The following is a 27,791-nucleotide window of genomic DNA, read 5'->3' as shown; positions in this document are numbered from 1 at the left end:
TATTATTTCATTTCCAATTCCATTCAGGCTACAAGTGACGAGGAAGATTCTGTTTTGAATATAGCCAGAGAAAAAAAGGATGGAGAAAAATCTAGAACAGGTAATTTTGAAAACAGATTTAATGTCATGTTCAGTCCAGATAGATAAGAAGTCCCCTTCCCCAAATAAATCAGCGGGGGGCTCGTCGAAGCTGCACTTCCTGATTCAGCAGGCTGGAGGTTCTTCATTTGTAGTAAGTTCTTGGGTGATGCTGATGCTGCTGGTCTGGAACATGACCTTGGCTGTAAGATTATACAGTTCCCCACATTGAAGTTGGGAAGAAGATATATGGAGAGCAGTTGAAGACATAAGGGGCTCTGGGGAACAGCATAGTTTTGCTTTAATTCTCCAGCTTGTTCTCAGTAAGGGTGGAAGGAGAAAGAGAGGAAGTATCGATTTTACAGATGTCACATCGTACTGCTAAGAACAGACAGAAAACTTGTTGTAATAACCCATATACACTGTAGGAGAACTAAGGAGGCCCCTGGTGTAGCAATCATTTTCCCAAGGATGACGGATTGTGAGGCAGGAAGGTGTGAAAAGAGGCAGTCATTTATATAATTTTGGGGTTTCCGCTGAGGAAACCTGAGTGAACTCACTTCAGATGCATTTGGAATATTTTAATAAAAAATACTTGATTTTGGCTGCTGCAGGAACTGCTGGAAGAAGGAAACAATCCTAGAATTGGCATAAAAACACACACACTGACTCATTACTCCTCTTTGTTACTATTAGGCATCAGAGATACATGTTTTGTTGATTTTAGTTACAGAAATGAGACAAAGTTGAATCTGAATACATTGGCTTCCTTGTTCAAGGAGCTACCTCTTGGATACAATAGCTATTTCATGAAACTTCTTTAGAGAACAACATGATACTCCCAACAAGGCTATTTTAGAAACAAAAATTATGCTGGATTCTAATTAACTCCTAAAATGGTCATTTTCAATGAATATTGCACTGATTTCTGAATGAAAAACTGATCAATATCTAATGCTTGCAGCAGTTTTACTTTGTATATGTATGTCAAAATTGATAATTGATGATATTTTTATTGAGGCTAATATATTATCCTTTGTTGCCACGACTGGATGAAGAAACTTTCGGAAGGCTAAACTAGTGGATACAAGAAACTTAGGCAGATTATTACACCATATGGTTGAGAGAGATAATGAATATTATCTACTAGGTATCAGCAAACAGATATCCAAGGTGATTAATTTAGCACACTTCCACTGAAGTGATGTGAAGTGTACGTTCAACTGAATTGTCGTCGTAATTGTGTGCCTTCTCAGTTATTGGGCAAGTTAAAGAGCACGATGAATGTTTGTATTATAATGGTGTAAATCCTTTTAATTTGTTGCATGAAAGGTAAGTGGGATCATGTAGCACCTGCTTTGACATTGATTCTCAGGTGTATGTGTTGCTCCTCTGATTTTAGATCACTTTGACCTCATCACTCGGCATATCCACGTTGATATTGACATGGTTTTATTTTAGTTTTTGGCATATGACAAATCATACCATGTTTGAAATTCTAAGACTATATTTCGTGGAGCCTGTATTCCCTTTTCTCAGCATATTTCTGTCATGTTCTAGTCCCCAGACACAAAGTAGAAGCCATCAAAGCCTACGCTAATACAGGCAGGAGGACGGAGGTTGATGCTAACACTGCATGAATATGTGGATAATTTTGTCATTTTTACATATGAGTGATTATGAATCCCTTTTACTTTTCAGTGTCTTCTGAGCAACCACCAGGCTTGAAGGTAATGAAACTGTCATTTATATTGTGAACTAGTAAATGTATAGTCTATGAAACATACTTTATTAATTTATTATTTCATTTCAAATTCCATTCAGGCTACAAGAGATGAGAAAGATTCTCTTTTGAATATAGCCAGAGGAAAAAAGCATGGAGAAAAAACTAGGAGAGGTAATTTTGAAAAGAGATTTAATGTCATGTTCAGTCCAGATAGATAAGAAATTCTCTTCCGTGAATAAATCAGCGGGGGGCTCGTTGAAGCTGCACATTCTGATTCAGCAGTCCTGAGATTCTTCATTTCAAATAAGTTTGTGGGTGATGATGATGCTGCTGGTCTGGAACGTGATCTTCGCCGTAAGATTATACACTTCCCCATATTGAAATTGGGAAGAAGAAATATGGAGAGCAGTTCAAGGCATAAGGGGCTCTGGGGAACAACATAATTTTGCTTTAATTCTCCAGCTTGTTTTCAGTAAGGGTGGAAGGAGAAAGAGAGGAAGTATAGAATTTACACACTTCAGATCGTACTGCCAAGAAAAGACAGAAAGCTTGTTGTAACAACCCGTAGACACTGTTAGGAGAACTAAGGAGACCCCTGGTGTAGCAACTATTTTCCTAAGGGAGATGGATTGTGAGGCAGGAAGGTGTGAAAAGAGGAAGTCATTTATATAATTTTGGGGTTTCTGCTGAGAAAACCTGAGTGAACTCACTTCAGATGCATTTGGAATATTTTCATAACAAATATTTTATTTTGGCTGCTCCAGGAACTACTGGAAGCAGGAAACAATGGTATAATTGGAATACACCACCACACTGACTCATTACTCCTCTTGGTTACTAGGAGGCATCAGAGATACATGTTTTGTTGATTTTAGTTATAAAAATGAGATAATCTTGAATATGAATAAATTTGCTTCCTTGTTCAAGGAGCTACCTCTTGGATAAAATAGCTATTTAATGAGACTTCTTTAGAGAATAACACGATACTCCCAACAAGAGTATTTTAGACACAAGAATGATGTTGAATTCTAACTAACTCCTAAAATGGTCATTTTCAATGAATATTGCAGTGATTTCTGAATGAAAAACTGATTAATATCTAATGCTTGTAGCCATTTGACTTTGTAGAAGTATGTCAAAGTTGACAATTGATGATATTTTTATTGAGGCTAATATATTATCCTTTGGTGCCAAGAGTGGATGAAGAAACTTTCGGAAGCCTAAACTAGTGGATACATGAAACTTAGGCAAATTATTACACTACATGGGTGTGAGAGATAATGAATATTATCTACTAGGTATCAGCAAACAGATATCCAAGGTGATCAATTCAGGACACTTCCACTGAAGATATGTTAAGTGTACGTTCAGCTGGAGTGTCATCGTAATTGTGTGCCTTCTCAGTTATTGGGCAAGTTAAAGAGCATGATGAATGTTTTTAGTATAATGGTGTAAATCCTTTTGATTTGTTGCATGAAAGACATGTGGGATCATGTAGCACCTGTTTTGACATTGATTCTCACGTGTATGAGTTGCTCCTCTGTTTTCAGATCACATTTGTCCTCATCGCTCATCATATCCACATTGATATTGACACGGTTTTATTTTGGGTTTCGACACATGACAAATCATACCATGTTTGAAATTGTAAGGGTATATTTCATGGAGCCTGTGTTCCCTTTTTTCAGTGTATTTCTGTCACCTTCTGGTCCCCTGAGACAAAGTAGAAGCCATGAAAGCCTCCACTAATACAGGCAGGAGGACAGAGGTTGATGCTAACACTGTGTGAATGTATGGATAACTTTATCATATTTACATGTGAGTGATTATGTATCCCTTTTGCTTTTCAGTGTCTTCTCGGAAAAAAGCAGCCTTGAAGGTAATAAAACTCTCATTTATATTGTGAGCTAGTAAATGTAAAGCCTATGAAACATACCTTATTTATTATTTTGTTTCAAATTCCATTCAGGCTACAAGTGATGAGAAAGATTCTTTTTCAAATATAACCAGAGAAAGAAAGGATGGAGAAACATCTAGGACAGGTAACTTTGCAAAACACATTTAATGTCATGTTCAGTCCAGATAAGAAGTTCTCTTCCCCGAATAAATCAGTGGGGGGCTGGTCGAAACTGCACATTCTGATTCAGTAGGCCTGAGATTCTTCATTTCTAATAAGTTCTTGGGTTATGCTGATGCTGCTGGTCTGGAACATGATCTTTGCTGTAAGATTATACACATCCCCACATTGCAATTGGGAGGAAGAAATATGGAGAGCAGTTGAAGACATAAGGGGCTCTTGGGCACAGCATAATTTTGCTTTATTTCTGGAGCATCTTTTCATTAAGGGTGTAAGGAGAAAGAGAGGAAGTACAGATTTTACAGATGTCACATGATAGTGCTAAAAACAGACAGAAAACTGTTCATAATAAGCCGTAGACACTGTAGAAGGAGAACTGAGGAGACCCCTGATGTAGCAATTATTTTCCGAATGAAGACGGATTGTGAGGCAGGAAGGTGGGAAAAGAGGAAGTCATTTATATAATTTTGGGGTTACTGCTGAGGAAACCTGAGTGAACTCACTTCAGATCATTTGGAACATTTCCATAAACAATATTTGATTTTGGCAGCTCCAGCAATTTCTGGAAGCAGGAAACATTTCTTGAATTGGCATAAAAACACAATGACTCATTACTCCTCTTTGTTACTATTAGGCATCAGAGATACATGTTTTGTTGATTTTAGTTATAGAAATGAGATAAACGTGAATATGAATACGTTGGCTTCCTTCTTCAAAGAGCTACCTCTTGTATAAAATAGCTGTTTAATGAAACTTTTCTAGAACATAACATGATACTCCCAACAAGGCTCTTTTAGAGACAAAAATTATGTTGCATTCTAATTAAGTCCTAGAGTGATCATTTTCAATGAATATTGGAATGATTTCTGAATGTAAATCTTATCAATATCTAATGCTTGTAGCAGTTTTACTTTGTAGAAATATGTCAAAGTTGATAAATGATGATATTTTTATTGAGGCTAATATATTATCCTTTGGTGCCATGAGTGGATGAAGAAACTTTTGGAAGGCTAAACTAGTGGATACAAGAAACTTAAGCAAATTTTTATACCACATGGGTGTGAGAGATAATGAACATTATCTACTAGGTATCAGCAAACAGGTGTCCAATGTGATCAATTCAGGACTCTTCCACTGAAGAGATGTGAAGTGTAAGTTTAACTGAAGTATCATTGCAATTGTGTGCCTTCTCAGTTATTGGCAGTTTAAAGAGCATGATGAATGTTTTTAGTATAATGGTGTAAATCCTTTTGATTTGTTGCATGAAAGAAATGTGGGATCATGTAGCACCTGCTTTGACATTGATTCTCAGGTGTGTGAGTTGCTCCTCTGATTTTAGATCACATTTGTTCTCATCACTCGGCCTATGCACATTGAGATTGACACGGTTTTATTTTAGTTTTTGACATATGAGAAATCGTACCATGTTTGAAATTGCAAGGGTATATTTCATGGAGCCTGTATTCCCTTTTCTCAGTGTATTTCTGTCATGTTCTAGTCCCCAGACACAAAGTAGAAGCCATTAAAGCCTACGCTAATACAGGCAGGAGGACAGAGTTTGATGCTAACTCTGCATGAATCTATGGATATCTTTGTCATATTTACATATGAGTGATTATGAATCCCTTTTGCTTTTCAGTGTCTTCTCAGAAACCACCAGCCTTGAAGGTAATGAAACTCTCATTTATATTGTGAACGAGTTAATGTATGGTCTATGAAACATATTTTATTTATTATTTCATTTCAAATTCCATTCAGGCTACAGGTGACGAGGAAGATTCTGTTTTGAATATAGCCAGAGAAAAAAAGGATGGAGAAAAATCTAGAACAGGTAATTTTGAAAACAGATTTAATGTCATGTTCAGTCCAGATAGATAAGAAGTTCCCTTCCCCAAATAAATCAGCGGGGGGCTCGTCGAAGCTGCACTTTCTGATTCAGCAGGCCGGAGATTCTTCATTTGTAGTAAGTTCTTGGGTGATGCTGATGCTGCTGGTCTGGAACATGACCTTGGCTGTAAGATTATACAGTTCCCCACATTGAAGTTGGAAAGAAGATATATGGAGAGCAGTTGAAGACATAAGGGGCTCTGGGGAACAGCATAGTTTTGCTTTAATTCTCCAGCTTGTTTTCAGTAAGGGTGGAAGGAGAAAGAGAGGAAGTATCGATTTTACAGACGTCACATCGTACTGCTAAAAACAGACAGAAAACTTGTAATAACCCGTACACACTGTAGGAGAACTAAGGAGACCCCTGGTGTAGCAATCATTTTCCCAAGGATGACGGATTGTGAGGCAGGAAGGTGTGAAAAGAGGCAGTCATTTATATAATTTTGGGGTTTCCGCTGAGGAAACCTGAGTGAACTCACTTCAGATGCATTTGGAATATTTTAATAAAAAATACTTGATTTTGGCTGCTGCAGGAACTGCTGGAAGAAGGAAACAATCCTAGAATTGGCATAAAAACACACTGACTCATTACTCCTCTTTGTTACTATTAGGCATCAGAGATACATGTTTTGTTGATTTTAGTTATAGAAATGAGACAAAGTTGAATCTGAATACATTGGCTTCCTTGTTCAAGGAGCTACCTCTTGGATACAATAGCTATTTCATGAAACTTCTTTAGAGAACAACGTGATACTCCCAACAAGGCTATTTTAGAAACAAAAATTATGCTGGATTCTAATTAACTCCTAAAATGGTCATTTATAGTGAATATTGCAGTGATTTCTGAATGAATAACTGGTCAATATCTAATGCTTGTAGCAGCTTTACTTTGTATAGGTATGTCAAAATTGATAATTGATGATATTTTTATTGAGGCTAATATATTGTCCTTTGGTGCCACGACTGGATGAAGAAACTTTCGGAAGGCTAAAGTAGTGGATAGAAGAAACTTAGGCAGATTATTACACCATATGGGTGTGAGAGATAATGAATATTATCTACGAGGTATCATTAAACAGATATCCAAAGTGATCAATTTAGCACACTTCCACTGAAGAGATGTGAAGGGTACATTCAATTGAATTGTTATCGTAATTGTGTGCCTTCTCATTAACTGGGCAAGTTAAAGAGCATGATGAATGTTTGTAGTATAATGGTGTAAATCCTTTTGATTTGTTGCATGAAAGACATGTGGGATCATGTAGCACCTGCTTTGACATTTATTCTCACGTGTATGAGTTGCTCCTCTGATTTTAGATCACTTTGTCCTCATCACTCGACATATCCACGTTGATATTGACACGGTTTTATTTTAGTTTTCGACATATGACAAATCATACCATGTTTGAAATACTAAAACTATATTTCATGGAGCCTGTATTCCCTTTTCTCAGCGTATTTCTGTCATGTTCTAGTCCTCAGACACAAAGTAGAAGCCATCAAAGCCTACGCTAATACAGGCAGGAGGACAGAGGTTGATGCTAACACTGCATGAATGTGTGGATAATTTTGTCATTTTTACATATGAGTGATTATGAATCCCTTTTACTTTTCAGTGTCTTCTGAGAAACCATCAGGCTTGAAGGTAATGAAACTGTCATTTATATTGTGAACTAGTAAATGTATAGTCTATGAAACATACTTTATTAATTTATTATTTCATTTCAAATTCCATTCAGGCTACAAGTGACGAGAAAGATTCTGTTTTGAATATAGCCAGAGGAAAAAAGCATGGAGAAAAAACTAGGAGAGGTAATTTTGAAAAGAGATTTAATGTCATGTTCAGTGCAGATAGATAAGAAATTCTCTTCCCTGAATAAATCAGCGGGGGGTTCGTTGAAGCTGCACATTCTGATACAGCAGTCCTGAGATTCTTCATTTCAAATAAGTTCTTGGGTGATGATGATGCTGCTGCTCTGGAACATGATCTTCGCAGTAAGAGTATACACTTCCCCCCATTGAAAGTGGGAAGAAGAAATATGGAGAGCAGTTCAAGGCATAAGGGGCTCTGGGAAACAACATAATTTTGCTTTAATTCTCCAGCTTGTTTTCAGTAAGGGTGGAAGGAGAAAGAGAGGAAGTATAGAATTTACACACTTCAGATTGTACTGCCAAGAAAAGACAGAAAGCTTGTTGTAACAACCCGTAGACACTGTTAGGAGAACTAAGGAGACCCCTGGTGTAGCAACTATTTTCCTAAGGAAGACGGATTGTGAGGCAGGAAGGTGGAAAAAGAGGAATTCTTTTATATAATTTTGGGGTTTCTGCTGAGGAAACCTGAGTGAACTCACTTCAGATGCATTTGGAATATTTTCATAACAAATATTTGATTTTGGCTGCTCCAGGAACTACTGGAAGCAGGAAACAATGGTATAATTGGAATACACCACACTGACTCATTACTCCTCTTTCTTACTAGGAGGTATCAGAGATACGTATTTTGTTGATTGTAGTTATAAAAATGAGGTAATCTTGATTATGAATAAATTTGCTTCCTTGTTCAAGGAGCTACCCCTTGGATGAAATAGCTATTTCATGAAACTTCTTTAAAGAATAACATGGTCCTCCCAAAAAGTCTATTTTAGAAACAAAAATGATGTTGAATTCTAATTAACTCCTAAAATGGTCATTTTCAATGAATATTGCAGTGATTTCTGAATGAAAAACTGATTAATATCTAATGCTTGTAGCAGTTTTACTTTGAAGAATTATGTCAAAGTTGATAATTGATGATATCTTTATTGAGGCTAATATATTATCCTTTGGTGCCAAGAGTGGATGAAGAAACTTTCAGAAGTCTATACTAGTGTATGCAAGAAACTTAGGCAAATTATTACACCACATGGGTGTGAGAGGTAATGAATATTATCTACTAGGTATCAGCAAGCAGATATCCAAAGTCATCAATTTAGGACACTTCCACTGAGGAGATGTGAAGTGTACGTTCAACTGAAATGTCGTAATTCTGTGCCTTCTCAGTTATTGGGCAAATTAAAGAGCATGATGAATGTTTGTACTATAATTGTGTATATCCTTTGATTTCTTACATGAAACACATGTGGGATCCTGTAGCACCTGCTTTGACATTGATTCTCAGGTGTATGAATTGCTCCCCTGATTTTAGATCACTTTGTCCTCATCACTCGGCATATCGACATTGATATTGACAGGGCTTTATTTTAGTTTTCGACATATGACAGATCATAGCATCTTTAAAATTGTAAGGATATATTTCATGGAGCCTGTATTCCCTTTTTTCAGTGTACTTCTGTCATGTTCTTGTCCCCGACACAATATAGAAGCCATCAAAGCCTACACTAATACAGGCAGGAGGACAGAGATTGATGCTAACACTGTATGAATGTATGAATAACTTTATCATATTTACGTATGAGTGATTATGTATCCTTTTTGCTTTTCAGTGTCTTCTCATAAACAACCAGCCTTGAAGGTAATTAAACTCTCATTTATATTTTGAACTATTAACTGTATAGTCTATGAAACATACTTTATTTATTGACTGTTGTGTTTCAAATTCCATTCAGGCTACAAGTGACAAGGAAAATTCTGTTCCGAATATGGCCACAGAAACAAAGGATGAACAAATATCTGGGACAGGTAATTTTGCAAACACATTTAATAGGATGTTCGTTCAAGATAGAAGAGATCTTCTCTTCACCAAATAAAGCAGCGGGGGGTTCGTCAAATCTTCATGTTCTGATTCAGTATTCCTGAGATTATTCATTTGTAATAAGTTCTCAGGTGACCCTGATGCTGTGGTCCTTGGCCATGATGAAAGTACTAAGATTTTAGATGTCTGTACTTTGAAATTGGGAAAAAGAACCATCTGACCGCAATTCAACACATAACAGGCTCAGGGGACAGCATCATTTTGCTTTAATTCTACAGCATGTTTTCATCAAGAGGGGAAAGAGAAAGAGATGAAGTAATAGATATTAGAGGCGTCAGATTGTATTGTGATAAACAGAGGGAAAAGTGATCCTAATACCACAAAAACACTGTAGAATGAGAAGTAACAAGAGCAGTGATGTAGCAATTATTTTCCTCAAGGAATAGGGATTGTGAGTCAGGAAGGAGGGAGAAGAAGAAGTTATTTATGTAATTTGGGATTTCTGCTGAGGAAACCTCAGTGAACTCACTTCAATACATTTGGAACATTTGCATAAAAGAAGATTTGATTTTGGGTGCTTCAGGAACTACTGGAAGCAGGAAACTATGCTAGAATTGGGATAAACCACAGTGACTCATTACTCCTCTTTAGGAGTAATTTACTATTAGGCATCAGAGATACTTGTTTTGTTGATTTCAGTTATAAAACTGAGATAAACGAATATGAATACATTGGCTTCAAAGTTCAAGGAGCTAAGTCTTGGATAAAATAGCTATTGAATGAAACTTCTTTAGGGAATAGCATGATACTCCAAAGAAGACTTTTTAGAAACAAAAAATATGTTGAATTCTAATTAACTCCTAAAGTGGTCCTTTCCATGAATATTTGATTGATTTCTGAATGTAAAACTTATTAATATCTAATGCTTGTAGCAGTTTTACATTGTAGAAGTATGTCAACATTGGTAATTGATGATATTTTTATTGAGGCTAATATATTATCCTTTGGTGCCATGAGTGGATGAAGAAACTTTCAGAAGGCTAAACGAGTGGATACAAGAAACTTAGGCAAATTATTACACCACAGGGGTGTGAGAAATAATGAATATTATCTACTAGGTTTCAGCAAACATAATCCAAGCTGATCAATTTAGGACACTTCCACTGAAGAGACGTAAAGTGTACATTCAACTGTAATATCATTGTAATTGTGTGCCTTCTCAGTTATTGGGCAAGTTAAAGAGCACAATGAATGTTTGTACTATAATGGTGTAAATCCTTTTGATTTCTTGCATGGAAGACGTGGCATCATGTAGAACCTGCTTTGACATTGATTCTCAAGTGTATGAGTTGCTCCTCTGATTTTAGATCACATTTGTCCTCATCACTTGGCATATCCACATTGATATTGACATGGTTTTATTTTAGTTTTGGACATATGACAAATCATGCCATGTTTGAAATTGTAAGTATATTTTGTGAAGCCTGTATTCACCTTTTTCAGTGTATTTCTGTCATATTCCAGTCCCCAGTCACAAAGTAGAAAACATCAAAGCCTATACTAATACAGGCAGGAAGATACATCTTGATGCCAACAGTGCATGAATGTATGGATAACTTTATCATATTTACATATGAGTGATTATGTATCCCTTTTGCTTTTCAGTGTCTTCTCAGAAACAACCAGCCTTGAAGGTAATTAAACTGTCATTTATATTGTGAACTATTAACTGTGTGGTCTATGAAACATAGTTTATGTATTCATTATTTTGTTTCAAATTCCATTCAGGCTACAAGTGACAAGAAAGATTCTGTTTCGAATATACCCACAGAAATAAAGGATGGACAACAATCTGGAACAGGTAATTTCACAAAACACATTTAATGTCATGTTCAGTCCAGATAGAAAAGTACTTCTCTTCCCCGAACAAATCAGTGCGGGGCTCATCAAAACTGCACATTCTGATTCAGCAGGCCTGACATTCTTCATTTTTAATAAGTTCTTGGGTGACGCTGATGCTGCTGGTCTTGGACACGATCTTTGCAGTAAGATTATAGACTTCCCCACATCGAAATTGGGAAGAAGAAATATGGAGAGCAGTTCAAGACATAAGGGGCTCAGGGGAACAGCATAATTTTGCTTTAATTCTACAGCATGTTTTCAATAAGGGTAGAAGGAGAAAGACATGAAGTATAGATTTTATAGATGTCACATCATACTGCTATAAAAAAGACAGAATAGTGATCCTAATAACCTGTAGACACTGTAGAATGAGAACTAAGGAGACCACTGATATAGCAATGATTTTTCCCAAGGAAGAGGGATTGTGAGGCAGGAAGGAGGGAAAAGAAGAAGTTATTTATGTAATTTTGGGGTTTCTGCTGAGGAAACCTGAGTGGACTCACTTCAGAGGCATTTAGCGTATTTGCATAAAGAAGATTTGATTTTGGCAGCTGCTGGAACTACTGGGTGCAGGAGATAATGCTAGAATTGGGATAAACTTCATTTACTAATTACTCTTCTTTGTTACTATTAGGTATCAGACTTACACGTTTTGTTGATTTTAGTTATAGAAGTTAGATAAACTTGAATATGAATACATTGGCTTCATTGATCAAAGAGGTGACTCTTGGATAAAATAGGTATTTAATGAATATTCTTTAGAGAATAGCATGATACTCCTAACAAGACTATTTTAGAAACAAAAATAATGTTGAATTCAACAACTGACTCCTAAAATGGTAATTTTCAATGAATATTGGAGTGATTTCCAAGTGTAAAAGCTTATTAATATCCAATACTTGTAGCAGTTTTATTTAGTAGAATTATGTCAAAATTGATAATTGATGATGCCTTTTATTGAGGTTATATATTATACTTTGTTGCCACGAGTGGATGAAGAAATGTTCAAAAGGCTAAACTAGAGAATACAAGAAGCTTAGGCAAATTATTACAGCACATGGGTGTGAGAAATAATGAATTATTTACTTGGATTCAGGAAACATACATCCACGTTGATCGATTTAGGTCCCTTCCACTTAAGAGATGTGAAGTGTATGTTCAAGTGAAGTGTCATTGTAATTGTGTACCTTCTCAGTTATTGGGCAAGTTAAAGAGCATGTTGAATGTTTGCAGTATAATGGTTTAATCATTCGGATATCTTGCATGAAAGTCATGCGGGTGCATGTACCACCTGCTTTGACATTGATTTCCAGGTGATTAGTTTCTTCTGTGATTTTAGACCACATTTGTCCTCATCACTCGGCATATCCTTATTGAAATTGACACTTTTATTTTAGTTTTAGTCATATGACAAATCATACTACATTTGAAATGCTTAGTGTATATTTCTTGAAACCTGTATTCCTGTTTTCTTCAGTGTATTTCTGTCATGTTCCCATCCCAAAACACAAAGTATAAAGCATCAAAGCCTACACTAATAACTGCAGACAGAGGCAGCTTGATGCTAACACTGCATGAATGTTTGAATAACTTTATCATATGCACATATGAGTGATTATGTATCTGTTTTGCTTTTCAGTGTCTTCTCAGAAACAACTGGCCTGGAAGGTAATTAAACACTCATATATATTTTGAACTATTAACTGTATAGTCTATGAATATATACTTTATGTATTGATTATTTTGTTTCAAATCCCATTCAGGCTACAAGTGTCAAGAAAGATTCTGTTTCGAATATAGCCACAGAGATAAAGGATGGACAAATACGTGGGACAGGTATTTTGGAATACACCTTTAATGTAATGTTCGATCAAATAGAAGAGAAATTCACTTCCCCAAATAAATCAGCGGGGGGTTCATTGAAGCTTTATGTTTGGATTCAGCATGCTTGAGATTCTTCATTTGTAATAAGTCCTCGGGTGACCCTGATGGTGCTGGTCCTTGACCATGATCTGAGTAGTAAGATTGTAGACTTCCCTACATTGAAATTGGGAAGAAGAGCCATAGGAGAGCGGTTCAGCACATAACAGCCTCAGGGGACAGCATCATTTTGCTTTAATTCTACAGCAAGTTTCCATCAAGAGGGGAAGGAGAACGAGACGAAGTAATAGATATTATAGGCGTCAGATCATATTGTTATAAACGGAGGGAAAAGTGATCCTAATACCTCAAAAACAGCGTAGAATGAGAACAAACAAGATCACTGAAGTAGCAATTATTTTCCACAAGGAAGAGGGATTGTGAGGCAGGAAGGAGAGAAAAGAAGAAGTTATTTATGTAATTTTGGGGTTTCTGTTGAGGAAAGCTGAGTGAACTCACTTCAGATAAATTTGGAATATTTGCATAAAAGAATATTAAATTTTGGCTTCTCCAAGAACTACTGGAAGCAGGAAACAATGCTAGAATTGGGATAAAGCACACTGACTCGTTACTCCTCTTTGTTACTGTTAGGCATCAGAGATACACGTTTTGTTGATTTTAGTTATAAAAATGAGATAAACTTGAATATGAATACATTGGCTTCATTGTTCAAGGAGCTAACTCTTGGGTAAAATAGCTATTGGATGAAACTTCTTTAGAGAATAGCATGATACTCCCAACAAGACTATTATAGAAACAAAAAGTATGTGGAATTCTAATTAACTCCTAAAGTGGTCATTTTCAATGAATATTGGAGTGATTTGTGAATGTAAAACATATTAATATCTAACGCTTGTAGCAGTTTTACTCTGTAGAAGTATGTCAAAATTGATAATTGATGATATTTTTATTGAGGCTAATATATTATCCTTTGGTGCCATGAATGGATGAAGAAATTTTGGAAAGCTAAACGAGTGGATACAAGAAACTTAGGCAAATTATTACACCACGTGGGTGTGAGGAATAATAAATATTATCTACTCAGTTTCAGCAAACAGATATCCAAGGTGATCAATTTAGGACTCTTCCACTGAAGAGACGTGAAGTGTACATTCAACTGAAGTGTCATTGTAATTGTGTACCTTCTCTGTTATCGGGCAAGTTAAAGAGCATGATGAATGTCTGTAGTATAATGGTGTAAATCCTTTTGATTTCTTGCATGAAAGACCTGTGGGATCAAGTACCATCTGCTTTGACATTGATTCTCAATTGTATGAGTTGATCCTCTGATTTTAGATCACATTTGTCCTCATCACTCAGCATATCCACGTTGACATTGACAGGGTTTTATTTTAGTTTTAGACATATGACAAATCATACCATGCTTGAAATTGTAAGTATATTTTTCATGAAGGCTGTATTACTTTTTTCAGTGTATTTCTGTCATGTTCCAATCCCCAGACACAAAGTAGGAAACATCAAATCCTACCCTAATACAGGCAGAAGGATACAGCTTGATGCTAACACTGCATGAATGTATGAATAACTTTATCATACGTGCATGTGGGTGATTATGTATCCCTTTTGCTTTTCAGTGTCTTCTCAGAGACAACCAGCCTTGAAGGTAATTAAACTCTTATTTATATTGTGAACTAGTAATTGTATAGTCTATGAAACATACTTTATTGATTTATTATTTTGTTTCAAATTCCATTCAGGCTACAGGTGATGAGAAAGATTCTGTTTCGAATATAGCCAGAGAAATAAAGGATGGAGAAAAATCTGGGACAGGTAATTTTGCAAAACACATTTAATGTCATGTTCAGTCCAGATAGAAAAGAACTTCTCTTCCCAAATAAATCAACGGAGGGCTCGTCGAAGCTGCACATTCTGATTCTGCAGACCTGAGATTCTTCATTTGTAATAAGTTCTCGGGTGACGCTGATGCTGCTGGTCTTGGACGTGATCTTCGAAGTAAGATTATAGACTTCCCCACATTGAAATTGGGAAGAAGAAACATTGGAGAGCATGTCAAGACACAAGGGGCTCAGGGTACAGCATAATTTTGCTTTAATTCTACAGCATGTTTTCACCAAGGGTGGTAGGAGATAGAGATGAAGTATAGATTTTACAGACATTACATCGTGTTCCTAAAAACAGACGGAAAAGTGATCATAATAACCCATAAACACTGTAGAACAAGAACTAACGAGACCGCTGATGTAGAAATTACTTTCCTCAAGGAAGAGGGATTGTCAGGCAGAAAGGAGGGAAAATAAGAAGTTATTTAGGTAATTTTGTTGTTTCTTCTGAGGAAACGTGAGTTCAGATGCATATTCAAATATTTTCCTAAAAGAAGATTTGATTTTGGCTGCTTTAGGAACCAATGGAAGCAGGAAGGACTCCTAGAATTGGGATAAACCACAGTGACTCATTACTCCTCTTTGTTACTCTTGGGCATCAGAGATATATGTTTTGTTGATATTAGTTATTCAAGTGAAATAAACATGAATATACATATATTGGCTTTGCTTTTCAATTAGCTAACTTTGGATAAAATAGCAATTTAATGAAAATGCTTTAGAGAGTAGCATGATACTTCAAACCAGACTATTTTAGAAACAAAATTAATTTGAATTCATTAATTGACTTTTAAAATTGTTATTTTCAATGAATATTGGAGTAATTTCCAAATGTAAAAGGTTATTCATATCTAATGCTTGTAGCAACTTTATTTTGTATAAGTATGTCAAATTTGATCATTTATTATACTTTTTGATATGGTTTATATATTATACTTTGTTGCCATGAGTGGATGAAGAACCTTTCTGTAGCATAAACTAGAGGACACAACAAATGTAGGCACATTATTACACCACGTGGGTTTGAGAAATGAAGAATATTGTATACAGGATTATCCAAACCTATATCCAAGCTGATGAAGCTGCGACACTTCCACTGAGGACTTGTGAAGTGTACATTCTACTAAAGTGTCATTGTCATTGTGTACCTCCTCAATTACCAGGCAAGTTAAAGAGCATGATGAATACTTGCAGTACAATGGTATAAATCCTTCTGATGTCTTGCATGAAAAACATGCAGTAGCATTTAGTACCTTCTTTGACATTGATTCCTGGGTGTATGAGTTGCTCCTCTGATTTTAGATCACATTTCTTTTCATCATTCAGTATATCCACATTGATATTGACACTTTTTATTTCAGTAATACACACATGACGCATAATACCTCTTTGTAATTTCTGACTGTATATTTTCTGGAAGCGTGTATTCCTATTTTCTTCAGTGTATTTCCTCATGTTCCTGTCCCAAAGACACAAACTGTAAAACATCAAATCCTACACTAGTACAGGCAGGAGGATACAGCTTGATGCTAACACTGCATGAATGTATGGATAACTTTATCATATTTACATATGATGGATTATATATTTCTTTTACTTTTCAGTGTCTCCTCAGAAACAATCGGCCCAGAAGGTAGTTACTCTTTCATTTATATTTTGAATTATTTATTGCATAGCCTATGAAATATATATTATGTATTGACTATTTTGTTTCTCTTTCCATTCAGGTTATATTTAAAAAGAAAGTTTCTCTTTTGAATATTGCCACAAGAATAACGGGCGGTTGGAAATCTGGAACAGGTAATTTAGCAATATACATTTAATGTCATGTGCACTCAAGATAGAAGACAATGTCCCACCCCTGAATAGATCAGCAGGGGGCTCATTGAAAATGCACTTTCTGATTCAGCAGGCCTGAGATTGTGCATTTCTACTGAGTTGTCAGGTGTTGTTGATGCTGCTGGTCCTTGGCCATGATCTTAGTAACAAGCTTATAGACTTCCCTACATGGAAATTGTGTAGAAGAACCGTTGGAAAACAGTTCAAGATATAAGAGATAAGAGGATCCGGGGACAGCATAATTTTGCTCTTATTTCAGAGCATGTTTCTATGGAAAGGGGAAGGAGAAAGAGAAAAAAGTAATAGAAATTATAGATGTCAGATGGTACTACTTAAACCAGAGGGAGGAAGTTGTCATAATAACCCATAAACACTGGAGAATGAGGAGCAAGGTGACCACTGATGTAGTAATTATTTTCATCAAGAAAGAGGGATTGCAAGGCAAGAAAGAGGGGAAGGAAGAAGTTATTTAGGTAATTTTGGGGTTTCTGCTGAGGAAGCCTGAGTGAACTCACTTCAGATGCATTTTGAATATTTGCATACCGGATCATCTGATTTCTGGCTGCTCCAATGACTACTGGAATCAAGAAGGAGTGCTAGAATTGGGATAAACCACAGTGCCTCATTATTCATGTTTATTAGTATCAGACATCACACATATATTTTTTATTAGTTATTCAAATGAGTTGAAGTTTAATATGAATATTTAGTTTTTTTCCAAAGTGCTGGCTGTCTTGTTAAAATAGCTATTTAATGAAAATTCTTTATAGTAAAGTGATATTCCAGAGCAGACTAATTTTACAGACAAAAATAATGTTGAATTCATTAATTGAATCCTAAAGTGATTATTTTCAATGAATATTGGACTGATTTCCAAATGTATAAGTTTATTAATATCTAATGCCTGGAGCAATTCCATTTTGTATAAATATGTATAATTTATTATACTTTTTGATGGGGTTTATATATTATACCTTCTTGCCATTAGTGGATGAAGAAAGTTTCTGAAGGCTAAACTAGAGGATATAAGAAATGTAGGCAGATTATTACACCACATGGGCATGATAAATAATGAATATTAACTACTAGGATTCACCAAACATATATCCAAGCAGATCAATTCAGGACACTTACACTGAAGACACGTGAAGTGTATGTTCAACTGAAGTGTCATTGTAATTGTGTACCTTCTCAGTTATCAGACAAGCTAAAGAGCATGATGAATGTTTATGTTATACTGGTATAAAGCCTTCTGATGTCTTGTATGAAAGTCATGCAGTCGCAGTTAGCACCAGCTTTTACACTTATTTCTAGGGTTATGACTTGCTCCTCTGATTTTAGATCACATTTCTCCTTGTTAATCAGTATATCCACATTGATATTAACACTTCTTTTTAGCAATAGATGTGGTGCATAATCTCACTTTTTAACTTGTAACTGTATGTTTTTGAAGCTTGTATTCCTATTTTCTTCATTGCATTTCTATCATATTACTGTCCCAAAGAAACAAACTAGAAAAACATGAAACCCTACACTAATACAGGCAAGAGTATTCAGTTTGATGTTAACACTCCACAAATGTATGGTTGGCCTTACCATATTTACATATGATTGATTATATATTTCTCTTGCTTGTTAGAGTATCCTGAGAATCTGCCCACCTTGAAGGTAATTACTCTTACATTTATATTTTTAATTATTAACTGCATAACCTATACCAATATACATCATGTGCTAATCACTTTGTTTTAAAACCCATTCAGGCTACAATTGAAAATAAAAATTCTGTTCTGAATACAGCCACCAAAATGAAAGATGTACAAACATCCACACCAGGTAAACTTTGCATTGTAGATTTAACTCTGGAAAGAAGTACATTAATCTGTTTGTAATGCTCATAGTCTTTCTATTCTCAATTATTTCACTTTTTATATTTTATTTCAGGATTTCATCTAAATAATGCAGCTGTTATCATTTTTATATTTTCAAAAATGAGATTTACATGCATAAGGAAAATATATTTTTAAAACATAAGGTTTTTGTTTTGTTTTGTTTTTTGTTTTGTTTTGTTTTTTGTTTTTGGAGACAGAGCTTTGCTCTTGTTGCCCAGGGTGGAGTGCAATGGCTCAATTGTAACTCACGACAACCTCCACCTTCCTGGTTCAAGCAATTCTCTTGCCTCAGCCTCCCGAGTAGCTGGGATTACAGGTATGCCCCACCATGCCCGGCTAATTTTGTATTTTTAGTAGAGACAGGCTTTCTCCATGTTGGTCAGGCTGGTCTTGAGCTCTCGACCTCAGGTGATCCTCCCGCCTCGCCCTCCCAAAGTGCTGGGATTACAGGTGTGAACCACCATGCCTGGCCTAAAAATATAAGGTTTTATTCAGATGTTTCTACTTTTACATTTTGATACTCTGAAGTTTCCAATTTGGAATTTCAATAGTTTTTAGCGAATTAAAGAGATCAATTTTGATACTGTAAAATATTTGTTTTGCTTTAAAAGTCAATTAAAATTATGGCTTTTAGCTAATGAAATGTTTTATTTTGTAACATTTGTTTTGTTTTAACTTTTATTGGTTCTGGTCAATTTTGTTACACTTATTATATTAAGCCAATCAGATGTTCTGATTAGCACACTGTGTGTGTTTCTTTATTTTTTTGTTTTTAATTTTAATGAGTAAATTGTAGGTGTTTATGTTTATGGAGTAGATGAGATAGTTTGATACAGGCATACAATGTGTAATAATGACACCATGGTTAATGGGTTATCCATCACCTCAAGCGTTAACCATTTCTTTGTGCTGTCTTTTAATTTGTACTTCCTCAGTAATGCTAAAATGGACAAGTTATTGCTGACTGTAGTCATGTTTTTGTGCTATAAAATGCTACATTTTATTCATTGTTTCTAACTATAGTTTGTACTTATTAAGCATCCTCATTTCCTACCACCCCCACACCCTTCCTAGACTGTGGTAATGGTGATTTTTCTCTTCATCTCCATGAGCTCTATTTTTGAAATTTCTCACACCCACAAAGGACTGACAACATGTGAAGCCTTCCTTTCTTTGCCTGGATTATTTTACTTGACATAATGTCCTCCTGTTCCATCCATGTCATGTGAATGAGAGGATCTTATTCTTTCATATGGCTGAGCCATATATGTATCACATTTTTAGAACCCATTTTTCTGTTGATATACATTTAGATTGATTCCAAATTATGGCTATTGTGGAAAGTGCTGCAATAAACATGTCAGGACAGATTTCTCTTTTATAATACTGATTTTCTTGCTTTTGAGTAGTTACCTAGCAATGGGATTGCTGGATCATGTGGGTAGCTGTATTTTTAATTTTTTGAGGACTCTATACTGTTCTCCATAGTGGCTGTACTAATTCATAATGCCACCAATGGTGTACGAGGGTTCTGCTTTCTCCACATCCTCACCAGCATTTCTTAATGCCTGCCATTTGGATAAAAGCCATTTTAACTGAGGTGAGATGATACCTCATTGTAGCTTTGATTTGCATTTCTGTGATGATCAGTGACATCGAGCACCTTTCCATATACCTGTTTGCCATCTGATAGCAGTTTGAAACATAACAGTATCATTTTGCTACTATTTCTGAGCATGTTTCTAGCCAGAGGGAAAGGAACACAAATTTAGGAAATAGAAATTATACATGTAAGGTACTACTGCTAAATTAAGAGGCTTTCCTCTTTATTTGTGGTGGGAATAATTTATGAGAGTTATATAGAAGTGTTGATATTAGTTAATCAAATGAAATTTATTTGAACTAAGAAACTTTGACTGATTTTACTAAGAAACCTATTTTTTTAAATAAGATCACAGTTCCATGAAAGTGTCTTAGAGATTAGCATGGTATATCAAATCAAACTAATTTTAGAAACAAAAAGTTATAGCATTCATTCTTTGAATAACAAAACCAAAATAATCAGTGAACATTGCACTGATTTTGAAGTATAAAATGTTATTAATAAGTCTGTGGAAATTTAATTTTTTCATTTTTGACAATTATTTACATATTGAAAGCTTATTATACACTTTTTTTTTTTTTTTTGAGACAGAGTCTTGCTCTGTCTCCCAGCCTGGAGTGTAATGGCACAATCTCGGCTCACTGCAACCTCCACCTCCCGGGTTAAAGCGATTCTCCTGCCTCAGCCCCCTGAGTAGCTGAGATTACAGGCACATGACACCATGCCCAGCTAATTTTTGTATTTTGAGTAGAGATGGGGTTTCACCATGTTAGTCAGGCTGGTCTTGACCTCCTGACCTTGTGATCCACTTGCTTCAGCCTCCCAAAGTGCTGTGATTACAGGCGTGAGCCACCACACCCAGCCTATACACTATTTTTGATGTGGTTTACATATCTTCTTACATGAGTGGATTCAGAAAGTTCTTGACAGGGCCAAACTGCAGGATACAAGCAATGTAGACATAGCAGTAGCCTACCTAGGAATGAAAAAAATGAATAGTTTTATTAATTTTTATTCTACAACTGTCTATCTAAGCTGATTAATTTTAAACAGTTTCTCTGATGAGAAATAAATTGTATATTTATTGGAAGTGTCCTCACAATTTTGTACTTCCTAAATAATAGGAAAAACAGTTGGACATGATAAATGCTTGTAGTATAATGGTGTAATTGAATCTGAAGTATTGCATTAAAGATAGGCCATAGCATCCTCCCATCAGCTTTGATACTTACTCTCTCAGGATCATGATTTGCTATTCTTTATAAGGATCATTTTTCTCATTATCAGTCAACATGTTTACATTGGAATAGATACACTCTTCTATTTCAGTTATAGTTAGTTGAGACATAATCTCACTTTAGAAACCTTAACTACATATGTTATAAAACCTGTATTAAATAAAACCGTTTATCTGAGGAAAGATAGCCAGAATCAAGGAAGACTTCACATAGCTGTCTGAGTCTTAAATTATGAAAGAAATCTGTCAGAATAGTTGAGGAAAATATTTTAGATATAAAGAAGAGACTGTACACTGATGAAAGTGTAAACAGTAGCAGTCATTTTGGAAATGATTAATAATGAACAGCAGGCTCAAAGTGCTGTTCTAAAGGTACTATTGTGAAGTAAAGAACAGTGTGCTGTTACTTTTTCTGTTTCTATTGGATTTTTACATTTTGTTTTATTTCTGATGGTTTCGTTCATTGATGTTGGGTGGGTGAATTTGTGAGTGAATCTTTGACCACGTTTGCATGGCTTGAACCTGGTGACATCTAGTGCCTCCCCAAGTGGTTTGCTGAAGTTTTGGAGGATTAAAAGCCTTTCTTAAAGAAGTAAATATTATACTAAAGATTAAGCTTCGTTGAAACACTTTTATTTTCTGGTTTTAGAAAGACTTTTTTTTTTTTTTTTTTTTTTGAGACACAGTCTCGCTCTGCCACCCAGGCTGGAGGTGCAGTGGTGAGATCTTCAGCTCACTGCAAGCTCCACTTCCCGGGCTCACGCCATTCTCCTGCACCAGCCTCCCGACTAGCTGGGACTACAGGCGCCCACCACCACGCCCAGCTAATTTTTTGTATTTTTTAGTAGAGACGGGGTTTCACCTTGTTAGCCAGGATGGTCTCGATCTCCTGACCTCGTGATCCACCTGCCTCGGCCTCCCAAAGTGCTGGGATTACAGGCGTGAGCCACCGCTGACCATGGCTTTTATCTAACTGTTCTGTGTAGCTCATTTTAACTAAATATATAATTTTTTTTAGCAGAACAAGACTTAGAAATGGCATCAGAGGGAGAGCAAAAGAGGCTTGAAGAATATGAAAATAACCAGCCACAGGTATGTAAAAATTTAAAATCAAATTTCTGGTTTAATCTTGTTTTCCTAGCTTTGGTAATACAGCATATTTGAAATGAATTTACCTTTGGATTAGCCTTTTAGTATCAGTTGATTATAATTTAATATTTCATTTTAAAAACATTTAACTAGTTATAAAACTTAAAATAGTGTTGGAATCTATAGCAACTTGTATCTTATCTTTACTCTTGGAATTGAGTTAAAAAGTTCCTGATATTGTTTGCACTTCTATTTTTATAACTTCCTATTATAATAAAGAAGGTAACATCAAATATTGAATTACAATTTTAAGCAATAGAAATTATGAACAATTTAACAGTGATGACCACCGTACTGGATTCAGATTAAAGGAGTAATTATTGCTAGTGGTTCAAACTTTGCAGTTTTTTTATTGCCAGTCACTAATACCAAGGTTAAAAATTTACTTTCCTTTTTGATCTCTGACTTCAGTTTCTATGTTCAGGGAGAGAATAGGTCATAAAATCAACCCAACTGGCTATCAAGAGAATTATACCTTGCAGAATGGCACCTTTGGTATTAGTGTACAAACAATAACTGCCTAATGTATTTCAATATAGAAAATCTCTAAATATTGTTAAATTTATTAAATCCACTGTCATTAGTAGACCTTAGAACTTAAGCCTATAATCTATATAAATATATAACACTGTCAATCATATTACAATGTTTAATTTGCATTAAAATGTAAGAATTTGCTTTTCTTATTTTATTTTATTATTATTATACTTTAAGTTTTAGGGAACATGTGCACAATGTGCAGGTTAGTTACATATGTATACACGTGCCATGCTGGTGCGCTGCACCCATTAACTCGTCATTTAGCATTAGGTATATCTCCTAATGCTATCCCTCCCCCCTCCCCCCACCCCACAACAGTCCCCAGAGTGTGATGTTCCCCTTCCTGTGTCCACCTGTTCTCATTGTTCAATTCCCACCTATGAGTGAGAACATGCAGTGTTTGGTTTTTTGTCCTTGCGATAGTTTACTGAGAATGATGATTTCCAATTTCATCCATGTCCCTACAAAGGACATGAACTCATCATTTTTTATGGCTGCATAGTATTCCATGGTGTATATGTGTCACATTTTCTTAATCCAGGTTATCATTGTTGGACATTTGGGTTGGTTCCAAGTCTTTGCTATTGTGAATAGTGCCGCAATAAACATACGTGTGCATGTGTCTTTATAGCAGCATGATTTATAGTCCTTTGGGTATATACCCAGTAATGGGATGGCAGGGTCAAATGGTATTTCTAGTTCTGGATCCCTGAGGAATCGCCACACTGACTTCCACAATGGTTGAACTAGTTTACAGTCCCACCAACAGTGTAAAAGTGTTGCTATTTCTCCACATCTTCTCCAGCACCTGTTGTTTGCAGACTTTTTAATGATTGCCATCCTAACTGGTGTGAGATGGTATCTCATTGTGGTTTTGATTTGCATTTCTCTGATGGCTAGTGATGGTGAGCATTGTTTCATGTGTTTTTTGGCTGCATAAATGTCTTCTTTTGAGAAGTGTCTGTTGATATCCTTTGCCCACTTTTTGATGGGGTTGTTTGTTTTTTTCTTGTAAATTTGTTTGGGTTCATTGTAGATTCTGGATATTAGTCCTTCGTCAGATGAGTAGGTTGCAAAAATTTTCTCCCATTTTGTAGGTTGCCTGTTCACTCTGATGGTAGTTTCTTTTGCTGTGCAGAAGCTCTTCAGTTTAATTAGATCCCATCTGTCAATTTTGGCTTTTGTTGCCATTGCTGTTGGTGTTTTAGACATGAAGTCCTTGCCCATGCCTATGTCCTGAATGGTAATGCCTAGGTTTTCTTCTAGGGTTTTTATGGTTTTAGGTCTAACGTTTAAGCCTTTAATCCATCTTGAATTAATTTTTGTATAAGGTGTAAGGAAGGGATCCAGTTTCAGCTTTCTACATATGGCTAGCCAGTTTTCCCAGCACCATTTATTAAATAGGGAATCCTTTCCCCGTTGCTTGTTTTTCTCAGGGTTGTCAAAGATCAGATAGTTGTAGATATGCGGCGTTATTTCTGAGGGCTCTATTCTGTTCCATTGGTCTATATCTCTGTTTTGGTACCAGTACCATGCTGTTTTGGTTACTGTAGCCTTGTAGTATAGTTTGAAGTCAGGTAGCGTGATGCCTCCAGCTTTGTTCTTTTGGCTAAGGATTGACTTGGTGATGCGGGCTCTTTTTTGGTTCCATATGAACTTTAAAGCAGTTTTTTCCAATTCAGTGAAGAAAGTCTTTGGGAGCTTGATGGTGATGGCATTGAATCTATAAATTACCTTGGGCAGTATGGCCATTTTAACCATACTGATTCTTCCTACCCATGAGCATGGAATGTTTTTCCATTTGTTTGTATCCTCTTTTATTTCCTTGAGCAGTGATTTGTAGTTCTCCTTGAAGAGGTCCTTCACATCCCTTGTAAGTTGGATTCCTAGGTATTTTATTCTCTTTGAAGCAATTGTGAATGGGAATTCACTCATGATTTGGCTCTGTGTTTGTCTGTTATTGGTGTATAAGAATGCTTATGATTTTTGTACATTGATTTTGTATCCTGAGACTTTGCTGAAGTTGCTGATCAGCTTAAGGAGATTTTGGGCTGAGACAATGGGGTTTTCTAGTTATACAATCATGTCATCTGCAAACAGGGACAATTTGACTTCCTCTTTTCCTAATTGAATACCCTTTATTTCCTTCTCCTGCCTAATGGCCCTGGCCAGAACTTCCAACACTATGTTGAATAGGAGTGGTGAGAGAGGGCATCCCTGTCTTGTGCCCTCTTGTGCCAGTTTTCAAAGGGAATGCTTCCAGTTTTTGCCCATTCAGTATGATATTGGCTGTGGGTTTGTCATAGATAGCTCTTATTATTTTGAAATACATCCCATCAATACCTAATTTATTGAGAGTTTTTAGCATGAAGGGTTGTTGAATTTTGTCAAAGGCCTTTTCTGCATCTATTGAGATAATCATGTGGTTTTTGTCTTTGGTTTTGTTTATAAGCTGGATTACATTTATTTATTTGCGTATATTGAAGCAGCCTTGCATCCCAGGGATGAAGCCCACTTGATCATGGTGGATAAGCTTTTTGATGTGCTGCTGGATTTGGTTTGCCCATATTTTATCGAGGATTTTTGCATCAATGTTCATTAAGGATACTGGTCTAAAATTCTCTTTTTTGGTTGTGTCTCTGCCCGGCTTTGGTATCAGGATGATGCTGGCCTCATAAAATGAGTTAGGGAGGGTTCCCTCTTTTTCTATTGATTGGAATAGTTTCAGAAGGAAGGGTATCACTTCCTCCTTGTACCTCTGGTAGAATTCGGCTGTGGATCCATCTGGTCCTGGACTCTTTTTGGTTGGTAAGCTATTGATTATTGCCACAATTTCAGAGCCTGTTATTGGTCTATTCAGAGATTCAACTTCTTCCTGGTTTAGTCTTGGGAGGGTGTATGTTTCCAGGAATTTATCCATTTCTTCTAGATTTTCTAGTTTATTTGCGTAGAGGTGTTTGTAGTATTCTTTGATGGTAGTTTGTATTTCTGTGGGATCGGTGGTGATATCCCCTTTATCATTTTGTATTGCATCTATTTGATTCTTCTCTCTTTTCTTCTTTTTTAGTCTTGCTAGCTGTCTATCAATTTTGTTGATCCTTTCAAAAAACCAGCTCCTGGATTCATTAATTTTTTGAAGGGTTTTTTGTGTCTCTATTTCCTTCAGTTCTGTTCTGATTTTAGTTATTTCTTGCCTTCTGCTAGCTTTTGAATGTGTTTGCTCTTGCTTTTCTAGTTCTTTTAATTGTGATGTTAGGGTGTCAATTTTGGATCTTTCTTGCTTTCTCTTGTGGGCATTTAGTGCTATAAATTTCCCTCTGCACACTGCTTTGAATGTGTCCCAGAGATTCTGGTATGTTGTGTCTTTGTTCTCGTTGGTTTCAAAGAACATCTTTATTTCTGCCTTCATTTCGTTATGTACCCAGTAGTCATTCAGGAGCAGGTTGTTCAGTTTCCATGTAGTTGAGCGGTTTTGAGTGAGTTTCTTAATCCTGAGTTCTAGTTTGATTGCACTGTGGTCTGACAGACAGTTTGTTATACTTTCGTTCTTTTACATTTGCTGAGGAGAGCTTTACTTCCAAGTATGTGGTCAATTTTGGAATAGGTGTGGTGTGGTGCTGAAAAAAATGTATATTCTGTTGATTTGGGGTGGAGAGTTCTGTAGATGTCTATTAGGTCCACTTGGTGCAGAGCTGAGTTCAATTCCTGGGTCTCCTTATTAACTTTCTGTCTCATTGATCTGTCCAATGTTGACAGTGGGATGTTAAAGTCTCCCATTATTATTGTGTGGGAGTCTAAGTCTCTTTGTAGGTCACTCAGGACTTGCTTTATGAATCTGGGTGCTCCTGTATTGGGTGCATATATATTTAGGATAGTTAGCTCTTCTTGTTGAATTGATCTCTTTACCATTATGTAATGGCCTTCTTTGTCTCTTTTGATCTTTGTTGGTTTAAAGTCTGTTTTATCAGAGACTAGGATTGCAACCCCTGCCTTTTTTTGTTTTCCATTTGCTTGGTAGATCTTCCTCCATCCTTTTATTTTGAGCCTATGTGTGTCTCTGCACGTGAGATGGGTTTCCTGAATACAGCACACTGATGGATCTTGACTCTTTATCCAATTTGCCAGTCTGTGTCTTTTGATTGGAGCATTTAGTCCATTTACATTTAAAGTTAATATTGTTATGTCTGAAATTGATCCTGGCATTATGATGTTAGCTAGTTATTTTGCTCATTAGTTAATGCAGTTTCTTCCTAGTCTCGATGGTCTTTATATTTTGGCATGATTTTGCAGTGGCTGGTACCGGTTGTTCCTTTCCACGTTTAGTGCTTCCTTCAGGAGCTCTTTTAGGGCAGGCCTGGTGGTGACAAAATCTCTCATCATTTGCTTGT

General features: G+C 36.0%; 1 protein-coding gene across 2 annotated transcripts in view; it reads left to right on the top strand.

The window, feature by feature from the left end:
- Window positions 1-27,791, top strand: part of ANKRD36C (ankyrin repeat domain 36C) — a 142,893-nt gene that overhangs the window by 92,580 nt on the left and 22,522 nt on the right. For both annotated transcript variants that reach the window (NM_001310154.3, NM_001393982.1), the window contains 22 exons: window positions 28-100; window positions 1,780-1,808; window positions 1,903-1,975; window positions 3,655-3,683; window positions 3,774-3,846; window positions 5,521-5,549; window positions 5,640-5,712; window positions 7,385-7,413; window positions 7,508-7,580; window positions 9,251-9,279; window positions 9,374-9,446; window positions 11,125-11,153; window positions 11,248-11,320; window positions 13,001-13,029; window positions 13,125-13,197; window positions 14,877-14,905; window positions 15,000-15,072; window positions 16,748-16,776; window positions 16,871-16,943; window positions 18,622-18,650; window positions 18,746-18,818; window positions 22,733-22,806. In NM_001310154.3, the coding sequence (NP_001297083.1) occupies window positions 28-100; window positions 1,780-1,808; window positions 1,903-1,975; window positions 3,655-3,683; window positions 3,774-3,846; window positions 5,521-5,549; window positions 5,640-5,712; window positions 7,385-7,413; window positions 7,508-7,580; window positions 9,251-9,279; window positions 9,374-9,446; window positions 11,125-11,153; window positions 11,248-11,320; window positions 13,001-13,029; window positions 13,125-13,197; window positions 14,877-14,905; window positions 15,000-15,072; window positions 16,748-16,776; window positions 16,871-16,943; window positions 18,622-18,650; window positions 18,746-18,818; window positions 22,733-22,806 (1,167 nt within the window). The remainder of the gene's footprint in view (window positions 1-27; window positions 101-1,779; window positions 1,809-1,902; window positions 1,976-3,654; window positions 3,684-3,773; window positions 3,847-5,520; window positions 5,550-5,639; window positions 5,713-7,384; window positions 7,414-7,507; window positions 7,581-9,250; window positions 9,280-9,373; window positions 9,447-11,124; window positions 11,154-11,247; window positions 11,321-13,000; window positions 13,030-13,124; window positions 13,198-14,876; window positions 14,906-14,999; window positions 15,073-16,747; window positions 16,777-16,870; window positions 16,944-18,621; window positions 18,651-18,745; window positions 18,819-22,732; window positions 22,807-27,791) is intronic.

The sequence above is a fragment of the Homo sapiens genome, chromosome 2 (assembly GCF_000001405.40).
Source record: "Homo sapiens chromosome 2, GRCh38.p14 Primary Assembly".
Lineage (NCBI taxonomy): Eukaryota > Metazoa > Chordata > Mammalia > Primates > Hominidae > Homo > Homo sapiens.
Note: the sequence above shows the minus strand (reverse complement) of the source record. Positions and strands in the feature narration are given on the sequence as shown.